Source organism: Homo sapiens, chromosome 19 (genome assembly GCF_000001405.40).
Source record: "Homo sapiens chromosome 19, GRCh38.p14 Primary Assembly".
In the NCBI taxonomy this organism is placed as follows: Eukaryota; Metazoa; Chordata; class Mammalia; order Primates; family Hominidae; genus Homo; species Homo sapiens.
In genome coordinates, this window is record NC_000019.10 from 55,527,496 (window position 1) to 55,540,389 (window position 12,894).

At 56.7% G+C, this 12,894-nt stretch overlaps 1 protein-coding gene across 2 annotated transcripts, besides 2 other annotated features; it reads right to left on the bottom strand.

Annotated features, from left to right (window-relative positions):
* Positions 1 to 1,115: 1,115 nt before the first annotated feature.
* On the bottom strand, positions 1,116 to 9,638 carry SBK2 (SH3 domain binding kinase family member 2). 2 transcript variants are annotated; one of them, NM_001370096.2, is made up of 4 exons: positions 9,559 to 9,638; positions 8,547 to 8,801; positions 3,648 to 3,850; positions 1,116 to 2,828 (listed from the first exon to the last, which is right to left on the bottom strand). In NM_001370096.2, exons 2-4 carry the CDS (start codon positions 8,797 to 8,799, stop codon positions 2,238 to 2,240), a joined length of 1,047 nt encoding a protein of 348 aa, NP_001357025.1. In that variant the 5' UTR covers positions 8,800 to 8,801; positions 9,559 to 9,638; the 3' UTR covers positions 1,116 to 2,237. The 2 variants fall into 2 exon arrangements, with proteins under 2 accessions (NP_001357025.1, XP_011525529.1); XM_011527227.3 differs by having other exon boundaries at positions 1,116 to 2,962; positions 3,299 to 3,850.
* Positions 3,711 to 4,211: an enhancer, noted in NCBI's record as "H3K4me1 hESC enhancer chr19:56042573-56043073 (GRCh37/hg19 assembly coordinates)". NCBI's record gives its function as "activates a minimal SCP1, AML or CMV promoter by ChIP-STARR-seq in naive H9 embryonic stem cells {active_cell/tissue: H9 hESC(naive)}" and the evidence as "EXISTENCE:reporter gene assay evidence [ECO:0000049][PMID:30033119]".
* Positions 10,247 to 10,541: a silencer, noted in NCBI's record as "tiled region #3421; HepG2 Repressive DNase matched - State 10:DNaseD". NCBI's record gives its function as "represses a minimal TATA promoter and a strong SV40 promoter by Sharpr-MPRA in HepG2 cells {active_cell/tissue: HepG2}" and the evidence as "EXISTENCE:reporter gene assay evidence [ECO:0000049][PMID:27701403]".

Genomic DNA, 12,894 nt, shown 5'->3' on the forward strand with positions numbered 1-12,894 from the left:
ATGCACACAGGACATTCACACTTGCACATATGTGCACACTTGCACACACACATTCACACACATTCACACACATGTGCACACTCACGCACACACACATACTCATGGACACACATGCACACTCACACTCATGGACACACATGCACACTGGCACACATACGCATACTCATGGACACATGCACACTCACACTCATGGACACACATGCACACTGGCACACATACGCATACTCATGGACACATGCACACTCACACTCATGGACACACGCACACTGGCACACATACTCATGCTCACACATTACTGACTTGCACACATTTGCACACACATGCACACACTCACAATTGCACACACGCGCACACACTCGCACAATGTGCACACTCGCATGCACGCACACTCACACTCAGACACGTGCACACTCACTGGCACACACTCATGCTCACGACATTCACACTTGCACAGATGTGCACTCTCACACTCATATGCACACGCATACACTCACACACATGCACACTCACACACACTCATGCACACATGCATATAGAGTTCCTTGATGGAAGCTTTGAGAACCATATCTTTCATTCCATTGTTAGCACACAAACTTTGGTTTGGTAAAGGAGAGGGATTCTTAGAAGCAGGTGGCTCACTCCCTCCTGCCCACAGCTCTGCCATCAGGACCCCCTGCAGGACAGCAGGGAGGCTCAGGCAGCACCATGAGCTCAGGCAGCTCATCCTCGCCCCTCCGTCTCTCTCTCTCCCTTCCTCTCTGTCTCTTTTCTGTCTGTGTCTCTCTTCCTGTGTTTGTCTCTCTCCATCTCTGTTTCTCTCTCTGTCTCTGTCTGTTTCTCTTTCTATCTCTGTATGTGTCTGTGTCTGTTTCTCTCTCTCTCTTCCTCCACCTGTTTCTTTTTGTGTGTCTGTTTTTCTATCTGCATCTCTCCTTCTTTTTCTCTCCCCCGTCTCTGTTTCTCTGTGTGTGTGTCTCTGTCTCTCTCCATCTCTCCCTGCTGTTTCTCTGTGTCTCTGTCTCTCTACCTCTGCACCCCCCTCCCTCCTCCACACGTCCTCTGATGCACACTCCCCTTCTCGTTCCCGAGCAGACAGACTCGCAGCAGCACTGGGATCTGAGCGCCAGATGGAGTTTATTTGCAGAGTGGCTGGGGCGAGAGAAGGCAAAACACATCACAGAGAGGGTGGTGCCAGGTGGGAGGGAGACCCGGCCGGAGAGAAGGAGAGAGGACGGCGGGAGGACAGGGACGGAGGGGAGGCTGCGCCACACCAGACAGGCTAATTTATTTAACAGACATTTCCTGATCCCTGCTGCAGGCCATCGCTGAGTACATGGGGTCTGTCAGCAGACGGAAGGCGGCAAAGACCCCCGACTCCAGGAGCTCACAAAATAACCACAAAAAATAAGCCATGCAGTTAGAAGAGGATACACGTCCTAGAGCAACAGCAGAGTGGGGGGATGAGGAGGCAGACAGTAAGCATTTACAACGCGCAGCTGTAATCCCAGCACTGCGGGAGGCCGAGGTGGGAGACTCGCTCCAGGCCAGGAATTTGAGACTAGCCTGAGCAACACAGCAAGACCCGCCCCCAACCATCTTTTTAAAAAGTTAAAAATTAGCCTAGCGTGGTGGCGCATGCCTGTAGTCCCAGCTACTCAGGAGGCTGAGGCAGGAGGATTGTTTGAGGCCAGGAGTTGACACCCACCTGGGCAACATAGCAAGACCCCTCCATCTCTAAAAAAAGTTAAAAATTAGCCTAGCGTGGTGGCGCATGCCTGTAGTCCCAGCTACTCAGGAGGCTGAGGCAGGAAGATTGCTTGAGCTGTGGATTTTGAGACTGCAGTGAGCAGAGATAGCACCACTGCACTCCAGCCTGGGAGACAGAGCGAGACCCTGTCTCAAAAAAAATAAAAATGCGAGGGGTGAGGGGATGAGCCTAAAGTGCCCTGAGCAAACAGCAAGTGCAGAGGCCCTGGGGAAGGTGGCGGCAGGTACCGAGAGCCACGCGGAGGTCTGAGACCCTGGGGAAGGTGGCGGCAGGTATGGAGGGACATGCAGAGGTCTGAGGCCCTCATGGACCAAGGGAGGAATGCAGCCTGCAGAGAGGAGAGAGGAGGAGGACGCCGAGGGGAATCCCAAGCCCCATGGATGAAAACACACCGAGGAGACACCAAAAGCCGTTGGCCTTGGGGGCCTCGGGTGGGGCGGCTTCCCTTTCTGCATCCCCCGGGGCCTCCTCACTGCCCAGCCTCCTCTTCCACCGCTCCCACTGCCTCCGCCTCGCCCTCCCGCTGCCTCCAGGGGCGCCCCAGGTGCTCCCTGATGGCGATCACAGCGCTCCTCCTTCGGGGGTGAGGGTCCAGCAGCCCCCGCAGAAGCGCGTCGGCCGCGGCGGCCAGGCCGAACCAGGGCTGAGGGCGGTCCCGGGGCTGGCCCGACGCCTGCCAGATGAGGAAGTCCTCGTAGAAGGGGTCGGCCTCGGCCAGGGGCCGGTCCCAGGGGAAGTAGCCCGTGAGGAGGCAGAAGAGCAGGACGCCCAGCGCCCAGGCGTCCAGGGCGGGCTGAATGGGCAGGCCCTCGGGGAGCGGCGGGGGCGCGCAGAGCTCGGGGGCCGTGTAGGGGATGGGCGGCCCGGCCAGGCGCAGCAGCGTCCCGCGAGGCCTCGTGTGGCCGAAGTCGGTCAGCTTGAAGCGCCGGCAGGCCGGGTCGCACACCAGGACGTTCTCCGGCTTCAGGTCCCGGTACACCAGGCCGCGGGCGTGGATGTACTCCAGGGCGGAGGCCAGCTGGGCGGCGCAGCGGTGCACCGCGGGCTGCGGGAGGCCCACCTGCGGGGAGAGGGGTCAGGGCCCAGTGCCCCGGGGCCACGGAAGGCAACCGAGACCCAGGAAGCAGGCCCAGGACGCCAAGGAGGCCGGTAAGGAAGACGGTGAATAGTTGGCCCTGTGAGGCCTAGTGTGACCTGTGAGGCCTGCGGGTTTAGTGTGGCCTAGGGTGACCCCGTGAGGCCTAGTGTGACCTGTGAGGCCTGTGGGTTTAGTGGGGCCTAGTGTGACCTGTGAGGCCTGTGGGTTTAGTGTGGCTTAGTGTGACCCGTGAGGCCTGTGGGTTTAGTGTGGCCTAGTGTGACCCGTGAGGCCTGTGGGTTTAGTGTGGCCTAGGGTGACCCCGTGAGGCCTAGTGTGACCTGTGAGGCCTGTGGGTTTAGTGGGGCCTAGTGTGACCTGTGAGGCCTGTGGGTTTAGTGTGGCTTAGTGTGACCCGTGAGGCCTGTGGGTTTAGTGTGGCCTAGTGTGACCTGTGAGGCCTGTGGGTTTAGTGGGGTCTGGGGTGACCCTGTAGGACCTGTAGGTTAAGCGGGGCCTCGGGTGACCCTGTAGGGCCTGTGACTTGATTGGGGTCCAGTGTGACCTGGGGCTGCCTGGTGAGTCTCCATGGTGTATCGTGTGAGTTCTGTGATGTCTATGAACTCCAAAGAGGCCTAACAACTCCACGAGTCCTGTGGGCCCCACGAGGGGCCTCCGGGGGGTAGGGGAGGCCCAGGGAGGCCCAACGCAGTGGCTGTGGCTCCTGCGGCCCAGGCTGCTCAGGACGTTCCTGGGAGGCCGGTGAGGCACTCGGAGGCGGCCTGGGGTCTGCCTACGCACCTTGGGCTGGATGAAGGCCATGAGGTCCCCGTGCAGGACGGGCTCCGTCAGGAAGCTGTAGGAGTGTGCCGACTCGATGCCAATGCCGTAGGCCGTCACGATGGCTGAGTGCGCGCCCAGCGAGAGCCCCACACAGAACTCGTACAGGAAGCCACGGAGGGACGTGCGGGGTTTCGGGAGCTGCTTCAGTGCCAGGGGTGTGCCTGGGGCAGCAGGGACAGGTATGGGAGGCGTGCAGCAGCCAAGGGCCACCTGGGCCAGCTGCTCTGTTCCCCTGTGGTCCCCTCAATGGCCCCTCAGCTTGGACTCTTTCCCATAGACCATCTCCACCTCCTCCAACTCCCACCTCCCTCCTGAGCCCATCCTAACAGCATGGCCACCCAAGCATCACCAGCGGTACCAATAGTTATAGCACGCTGGGGACCAGCTGGGGGCTCAGGCCTGCGATCCCAGCGCTTTCAGAGACCGAGGTGGGAGGATCCGTTGAGGCCAGGAGTTTGAGACCAGCTCGGACAACACAGTGAGACCCTACCTCTAAAAAAAGTTTTAAAAAGGCCGGGCACTGTGGCTCACGCCTGTAATCCCAGTACTTTGGGAGACCGAGGCGGGTGGATTGCTTGATGTCAGGAGTTCAAGACCAGCCTGGTCAATATGGTGAAACCTCTTCTCTACTAAAAACATAAAAATCTAGTTGGGTGTGGTGGCGCATGCGTGTAATCCCAGCTACTTGGCCGGCTGAGGCAGGAGAATTGCTTGAACCCAGGAGGCAGAGGTTGCAGTGAGCCGAGATTGCGCCACTGCACTCCAGCCTGGGGGACAGAGTGAAAAAAAAATTAAAAAAATAATTAGCTGGGCATGGTGGCATCTGTAAAAAATTAAATAAAATAATAACAGTACGTGGTGAATTTCTACCTTGCTTTCTTACAAGTCTATAGCCATGGAGATGGAGGGATACCATGAAATTTCTCCAATGACCTCGTTTGGCTTCTCATGACAGCAAACTCGTGTTTGAGGCAAAAAGGTATTTTTGAGACACCTGGGGAAAAGGTAACCCACACTGGGTAAGAAAGCCAATTAGGAATTGTGGATTTTGTCACGTGTGGAAACGACTTCCTAGAAGCTAAACTCCCCGAAGGAACTTCTGATGTCTTCCTTTTTTTTTTTTTTTTTTTTTTTTGAGATGCAGTTTCACGCTTGTTGTCCAGACTGGAGTGCAGTGGCGTCATCTCGGCTCACTGCAACCTCTGCCTCCTGGGTTCAAGCGATTCTCCTGCCTCAGCCTCCCGAGTAGCTGGGATTACGGGCACCTGCCACCATACCTAGCTAATTTTTGTATTTTTAGTAGAGATGGGGTTTCACCATGTTGGTCAGGCTAGTCTTGAACTCCTGGCCTCAGGTGATGACCCACCTCAGCCTCCTGAAGCATTGGGATTACAGGTGTGAGCCACTACACCCGCCCTTTTTTTTTTTTTTTTTAAGACAGGGTCTTTCTCTGTCGTCCAGGCTGGAGTGCAGCAGCACAATCATGGCTCACTGCAACCTCCGCCTCCCGGGCTCAAGCGATTCTCCTGCCCAAGCTCCCTGAGTAGCTGGGACTACAGTTGTGCACCGCCACTGGGCTAATTGCACACCAAGCTGATTTTTTTCCCTGACACCAGAAATTCCTGCTAACTGGCTAAGTTTTTTAAAAAAAATTTGTAGAGACGGTCTCGCTATGTTGCCCAGGCTGGTCTCAAACTCCTAGGCTCTAAGCAATCCTCCTGCCTTGGCCTCCCAAAGTGCTGGGATTACAGGTGTGAGCCACCATGCCCGGCTTGGTTTCTTTGATTTCTGAGCCATCAGCTGCCAGGGTGCAACCTTCCCCCTCACAAGGCCGTGTGTAACTGGGATAAATTCCCTCCTTATTGGCCCAGCGCAGTGGCTGATGCCTATAATCCCAGCACTTTGGGAAGCCAAGGTGGGCGGATCACTTGAGGTCAGGAGTTCGAGATCAGCCTGGCAAACATGGCGAAACCCCATCTCTACTAAAAAATACAAAAATTAGCCGGTGTGGTTGCACATGCCTGTAATCCCAGCTACTCGGAAGGCTGAGGCAGGAGAATTGCTTGAACCCAGGAGGCGGAGGTTGTAGTGAGCCAAGATTGTACCACTCCACTCACTGCAGCCTGGGTGACAGAGCAAGACTCCATCTTCAAAAAAGAAAAAAAAGGAAAAGAAAAGAAAGGCCGAGTGCAGTGGCTCACACCTGTAATCCCAGCACTTTGGGAGGCCCAGGTGGGTGGATCACTTGAGGTCAGGAGTTCAAGACCAGCGTGGCCAAAATGGTGAAATCCCATCTCTAGTAAAAATACAAAAATCAGCCAGGTGTGGTGGTGCATGCCTTGCCTGTAGTCCCAGCTATTCGGGAGGCTGAGGCAGGAGAATGGCGTGAACCCGGGAGGCGGAGCTTGCAGTGAGCTGAGATTGCGCCACTGCAGTCCACAGTCCGGCCTGGGCGACAGAGCGAGACTCCGTCTCAAAAAAAAAAAAAAAAAAAAAAAAAAAAAAAAAAAAAAAGAAAAAGTTCCTTCCTTATCAAAAACACCAGCCATCCCCGCCCACTCTGCAGCCAGATGCAGTGGGGTCTCTTCTGCGTGTTCACAGCGCTCCTGATCACTGCCGCCACGGCCACGCCACCCGGTGTTGGCGATCCCTGCCCATCTATGCTCCCCACGGTGCCCTGAGCTTCTTAACGACAGTGACATGTTCAGGGCCCCAGCATCATGCAGCCCAGGGGCAGGTGTGCTGGAGGCCTCCAGATACAGGTTCAGTGAAATGGCCATGGAGGGGCCTCATTGGCAATGCCCCCGCCTGTTACTGCTCATGCCTCCGGCTTTGTGAGCACCCAGGGCTGGATCTCTGCATCCGTGGCTCTTCCTGAGGTGTGCTGTTGTGTGGCTGTGTTATTGCCCTCTGTGTTATTACTGAATTGTGTATCCCCAAAACTCGTATGTGGGAGTCCTAACCCCCCCAGTGCTGAATGTGGCTGTATTTGGAGATGGGGTCTTTAAAGAGGTAAAATGAGGTCACTAGAGTGGGCAGGCCCTCATCCAATGTGACTGGTGTCCTTATAAGAAGAGGAGATCAGGACACAGACACACACAGAGGGACGACCATGTGAGGACACAGGGAGAAGACGGCCAAATGCAAGCCAAGGAGAGAGGCCTCAGGAGAACCAACCCTGCTGACATCTTGATCTCGGGCTTCCAGCCTCCAAAGCTGTGAGGAAACAGAGCTCTGTTGTTGGCCAGGCACGGTGGCGCACACCTGTAATCCCAGCACTTTGGGAGGCTGAGGCAGGAGGACCACTTGAGGCCAGTTTGAGACCAGCCTGGGCAACACAGTGAGACCCCATCTTAAAAAAAACATTTAAAAATTAGCCGGGCATGGTGGCATGCGCCTGTAGTCTCAGCTACTTGCAGAGCTGAGGTGGGAGGATCCCTTGAGCCCAGGAGGTCAAAGCTGCAGTGAGCTATGATTGTGCCACTGCACTCCAGCCTGGACAACAGCGAGACCCTGTCTCAAAAAAAAAAAAAAAAGAAAAAAAAAGAAAAGAAAAAAGGCCAGGCACAGTGGCTCACACCTGTAATCCCAGCATTTTGGGAGGCTGAGGCAGGAGGATCACTTGAAATAAGGAGTTCAAGACTAGCCTGGCTAACATGGTGAAACCCCATCTCTACTAAAAATACAAAAATGAGCTGGGCATGGTGGCATGCACCTGTAATCCCAGCTACTCGGGGGGCTGAGGCACAAGAATCACTTGAACTTGGAAAGCGGAGGTTGCAGTGAGCTGAGATTGTGCTACTGCACTCCAGCCTGGGCAACAGAGCGAGACTCCATTTCAAAAAAAAAAAAGAAAGAAAAAAGTCAAAAGTTCTGTTGTGGAAGCGCCTGCCTTTGTTATGGCAGCCCCAGCAGATGAATGCACACTTTTTCTGCATTCATGCTAGGAGATTTTTGAAGGCAGGGACTGGCTCTGGTTCAATTCTGGGTCCACTGCCCGCCCAACCCCCCCAGCACAGGGCTGGCCTCAGAAGGCGTGCCCTGAACTGACTGACCTCAGGTTGCCTCCCTATTTTCCGTTTCATGGAAGGACACGGTGCTTGGCAGAAAGGCCCAGGGTAGTGGGGAGCTGTCCTGCGCACCCACTGTGTGCCGGCCTTGCTAAGTGCTTAGCAGACAGCATCACTCTGCATCATCCCACGGTGACCACTACAGCCGCCACAGGAGGCTCCTGAGCTGGGAGCTCTGTCTTACCCAGCATTATACAACCCCAGCAACTAGAGCAGTCCACATTCACTCAGAGGATCCACCATTCTTCCAAGTAGAAATCATCACCCACATTTTCCAAAGGAGGAAGCTGAGACTCAGAGAGGGCAAGGGAGTTCCTCAAAACACAGTTTTTGGCAGGGCACCGTGGCTCATGCCTGTAATCCCAGCAATTGGGAGGCTGAGGCAGGCGGATCACTGGAGGCCAGGAGTACGAGACCACCCTGGCCAACAGAGTGAAACCTCATCTCTACTAAGAAAGAAAAATACACACACACACAAATGTAGCTGGGTGTGGTAGTGCATGCCTATAGTCCTAGCTACATGGGAGGCTGAGGCAGGAGGAACACTTGAACCTGGGAGGTGGAAGTTGCAGTGAGATTGTGCCACTGCACTCCAGCCTGGGCGGCAGAGCCAGACTGTCTCAAAAACAACCAACCAACCAAAAGAACAAAAAACAAAAAACACACAGCTTTGGAGGGCAGAGGTAAGACTTGATTCAGGCCTGCCAGCCTCCCCAGCCTGGGCTACCCCAGGCCCGTGCCCCGCCCCCAGCTGAACCCTGCCACCTCTGGCCCCACAGCCTCGTACCTTTCTGACGATGGGTGACCAGAAGGACGCGGCCATAGCAACCCTGGCCCAGGGGACGCACTTCCTCGTAGAGCTCGTCCACCTCGGCTCGGACCAGGGTCTGAGCACTCAGCGTCATCATGTCCTCCAGCGCGCGGGCAGCCTCCTGGCCCTGCTGGAGCTCCTCTAATGTCAGGCCGCCCAGACCCTCCTCCTCGCTGTCCTCCGAAGCCCCTGCCTCCGCCGGCCCTTCCTCAGACTGTTTGCCGGGCATCTCTGCGAGAACAGAGAGGGGTGCCCAGGCTCAGGTCCCAGGCCCAAGGGAGGAGGGGACTGGGGGTCTGGACTCCTGGGTCTGAGGGAGGAGGGGCTGGGGGCTCATCGCGCTTCTCATTGTGACTCAGTCTCCCTCTTGGTGAGAGGTGGGGAGACAAGTCTGGTGTGAGTTCAAGCCCCAGGTCACAGATGTCCCTGCCCGCGTGCCGCCGCCGCCACCCGCCCACCCTGAGGTTGAAAGATGAACCAGATAACTGAGACTCCCCCATCTTGTTTCCAAAGCAAACAGACTTGGGCCCTGGGGGTGGATGAGTAGACTCTGTCTCCTGAGAACAAACAGGTGCTCTTGGGCTCAGGGCTGGGAGGGCGGGCTGTGCAGAGGGCCTGGGACGCCTGGGTCCTGCATGGGACCGAGCACTTGGGATCAGTCCCCAAGCTCCTGACAGGCCTGGGGTCCCACTTTCACAGCCCACCCACCTCCCTCCGACCCAGCCCCCCAGCCCCTCCTCCGCCAGGCCCAGGGGTCCAGGCCCCCAGCCCACCTCTCTCCCGGAACCTCATACAATTCACACAACTGGGGACCCCCTGATTCTGTTTCCCTCACCCTCCACCGCTCTACAGCCTCCAGGTGCAGCCCAGGCTCCCCTGAGGGACCGAGGACTCGGGCCACCTGGTACAGTCACCCTCAGGTGCTGCCCACCTCAGGCCAGGGCACCTTGCCCACCTCCCAACCTGGGCTCAGACCTCCAGACCTCACCTCCTCCAAGGCCCTCCTGACCCTCCGGCCGCCGGCTGTGGTCAGTGCCCGGCACTTAGGGCTCATGCCAGCAGAGGCCTGCCTAGGAGCAAGACCCCGCCCCGACTTTGGGGGTCGTAAGGCCCCGCCCCTGGGCCCGCCCCTTCTGCCCCCACTGGGAGCAGAGCGACATCGTGTGATGACTCCTGGAACTGGCTGTGGTCAGGTGAATACCCTGACCCAAGAGTTGAGCCCTCCTCCTTCAGACCCAGGAGTCCAGGCCCCAGCCCCTCCTCCTCCCTCAGACTCAGGAGTCCAGGCCCCCAGCGCCTCCTCCCTCAGACCCAGGAATCCAGTCTCCCAGTGCCTCCTCCCTCAGACCCAGGAGTCCAGGCCCCAGCCCCTCCTCCCTCAGACCCAGGAGTCCAGGCCCCCAGCTCTTCTTCCCTCAGACCCAGGAATCCAGGCCCCCAGCTTTCCCTCCCTCAGACCCAGGAATCCAGTCCCCCAGTGCCTCCTCCCTCAGACCCAGGAGTCTAGACCCCAGCCCCTCCTCCCTCAGACCCAGGAGTCTAGGTCTCCAGCCCCTCCTCCCTCAGACCCAGGAATTCAGGTCTCCAGCCCCTCCTCCCTCAGACCTAGGAGTCCAGACCCCCAGCCCCTCCTCCCTCAGACCCAGGAGTCCAGGCCCCAGCCCCTCCTCCCTCAGACCCAGGAGTCCAGGCCCCAGTCCCTCCTCCCTCAGACCCAGGAGTCCAGGCCTCAGCCTCCCCCACCCATCTGAAGTTTTCCGGCAGAACTGAGGCCTCCCCACCCCCTCAAGGCCTCTCTTCCCAGTTGCTCCAGCACCTGCTTCCCGCCCCTCTGAGTCTGAGGTCATCCCACACTGCATCGTTCTGGAATCTCATTGTCTCATTCTTTCCCCAAACTAGACCCCAGCATCTGATCCCCTGGACACCCCTCTCCAAGCACTTGTGTCTGACCTGTCAATGGGGCATTGATGGGGCAGCTGGGTGGGGTCAAGGCAGGGGTGGGTTCCAGAAATGATTTCATTTTCTACACGGGACCCGGACTCCTGGGCCTGATGGAGGAGGGGGTTGAGGACCTGGACTCCTAGGTCTGAGGGAGGAGGGGGTTGAGGACCCGGACTCCTGGGCCTGAGGGTGGAGGGGGTTGAGGACCTGGACTCCTGGGCCTGAGGGAGGAGGGGGTTGAGGACCTGGACTCCTGGGTCTGAGGGAGGAGGGCCTGAGGGCTCCTGATTCCAAAGAGAGGAATAACAATAAAAATAGTTTGAAAGCGCATAACAGGAATACAGGCCAGTGAGTGCCTCCCTGCTGTAAGCACAGGGAGATTAAGCCCCACTAGGAAGTCCCCAAGCCTTGGGCCACAGTGGGACTTCAGACCCCTGTTTTTTTCTGGGACGGTTGCACCCACCCTTCAGGGTTTTTTATTTCTTTTTTTTTTTTTTTTTTTTGCTTTTTGAGACGGAATCTCGCTCTGTCACCCAGACTGGAGTGCAGTGACGTGATCTCGGCTCACTGCAACCTCCAACTCTCTGGTTCGAGTGATTCTCTTGCCTCAGCCTCCCGAGTAGCTGGAATTACGGGCATTTGCCACCACGCCTGGCTAATTTTTGTATGTTTTAGTAGAGACAGGGTTTCACCATGTTGGCCAGGATGGTCTTGATCTCCTGACCTGGTGATCCACCCGCCTCAGCCTCCCAAAGTGCTGGGATTACAGAGGTGAGCCACTGTGCCTGGGCTATTTTTATTTTTTTGAGACAGGGTCTTGCTCTGTTGCCCAGGCTGAGTGCAGTGGCCCAATCTCAGCTCACTGCAATCTCCACCTCCCAGGTTCAAGCGATTCTCATGCCTTGGCCTCCAGAGTAGCTGGGACTACAGGTGCCTGCCACCACTCCTGGATAATTCTTATATTTTTAGTAGAGACAGGGTTTTACCATGTTGGTCAGGCTGGCCTCGAACTCCTGACCTCAGGTGATCCACCCGCCTCAGCCTCCCAAAGTGCTGGGATTACAGCCATAAGCCACCGTGTCTGGCCCACCCTTCAGGTTTATACTGCCATGACTGATGTGAAGTCACTTCATTTTTTTAAATAAACTTTTTATTTTGGAATCATTTTAGGTTTATAAAATGGTTGCCAAGATCCTGCGGAGAGTTCCCATGCACCCTCCCCCAGCCTCCCCTGGTGTCGGCATCGCGATGCAAACCGTGAGACATTTGTCAAAACTACGAGGCTCACAGTTGGGCCAACACCAGACTGTTATTTCAGCAGCGCTTCCACGATGGATCGAGCCCAGGATGCCGTGTCGTATGTAGTGAGCTCACTTCCCAGCCTGGAAGCATACCTTCCTGCTTAGGAAACACAGTTTCCAGTTCTGGACCCTCCGCTGGGTGCTGGGGTCTTGGATTTGGATCTAGTTCATCCCCGTCCTGCAGGCGTGAACCTCCACAAGCCAGGCTCCGTGTCCTGTCTGGCAGGTGCCATGGGACTGCGGGGCGCGGGCTGGCCTTGGTGAGGAAGGAGACCCATGGGTACCAGGCCTGGCTCTTAGGATTGACGGGTCTGAGAAAGGGGGACGGAGCTGGGACAATCACAATCCGTGGTGCTCTGTGGGAGCAGAACTGGGAAGGATCTAAATATGGAGAAGACCAGGTCCAGCCTGGACAGTCAGAAAGAGACATGGATTGTTCTAATACAAGTTCCCCAGGAGGCCAGAGAGGGCTGGGGGTGGGGGCCACTTTCTGGAGCCATGGGTCAGGGGGAAGATGCTCTCGGTGGAGGCCACACAGTGCGCCAATGTCTGGCAGCAGCTGTGCGTGCATGCGTGTGCATGCGTGTGTGCACACATGTGTGCATGCGTGCGAGTGCGTGTGTGTCCATGTATGCACACATGTGTGTGTGCGCGCGTGTGTGTGCATGCATGTGCGCATATACGCGTGTGTGTATGCGTGAGTGCATGCACATGTATGTGCGTGTGTGTGCACACGTATGCACCCATGTGTGTGTGCGCGTGCGTGTGTGTGTTCTCACATGTGTAGATTTAGGTCCAGAACAGATGAGTGGCGCCCATGACATCACCCACAGCCCAGAGAAATGGGAGAGGTGGAGGGTGAGGTTTATATGGTGTCGGATCCTAAAGTTCAGATCTTGTGACATGGACAGCGGGAGCCACGGAAGGTCTTAGAGGAGAGGAGTGATCCCATCAGAACTCCATGATGGCCAGGCGTGGTGGCTCATGCCTGTCATCCCAGCACTTTGGGAGGCCAAGACGGGTGGATCATTTGAGGTCAGGAGTTCGAGACCAGCCTGGCCAACATGGTGAAACCCCACCTC

Coding starts and splice junctions, on each gene's coding strand:
- SBK2 (NM_001370096.2), bottom strand. CDS start 8,799: ATGCCCGGCAAACAGTCTGAGGAAGGGCCGGCGGAGGCAGGGGCTTCG. Junction 3,851..8,546: donor GGTCACCCATCGTCAGAAAG/GTACGAGGCTGT, acceptor CTGCTGCCCCAG/GCACACCCCTGGCACTGAAG. Junction 2,829..3,647: donor TGGCCTTCATCCAGCCCAAG/GTGCGTAGGCAG, acceptor CTCTCCCCGCAG/GTGGGCCTCCCGCAGCCCGC.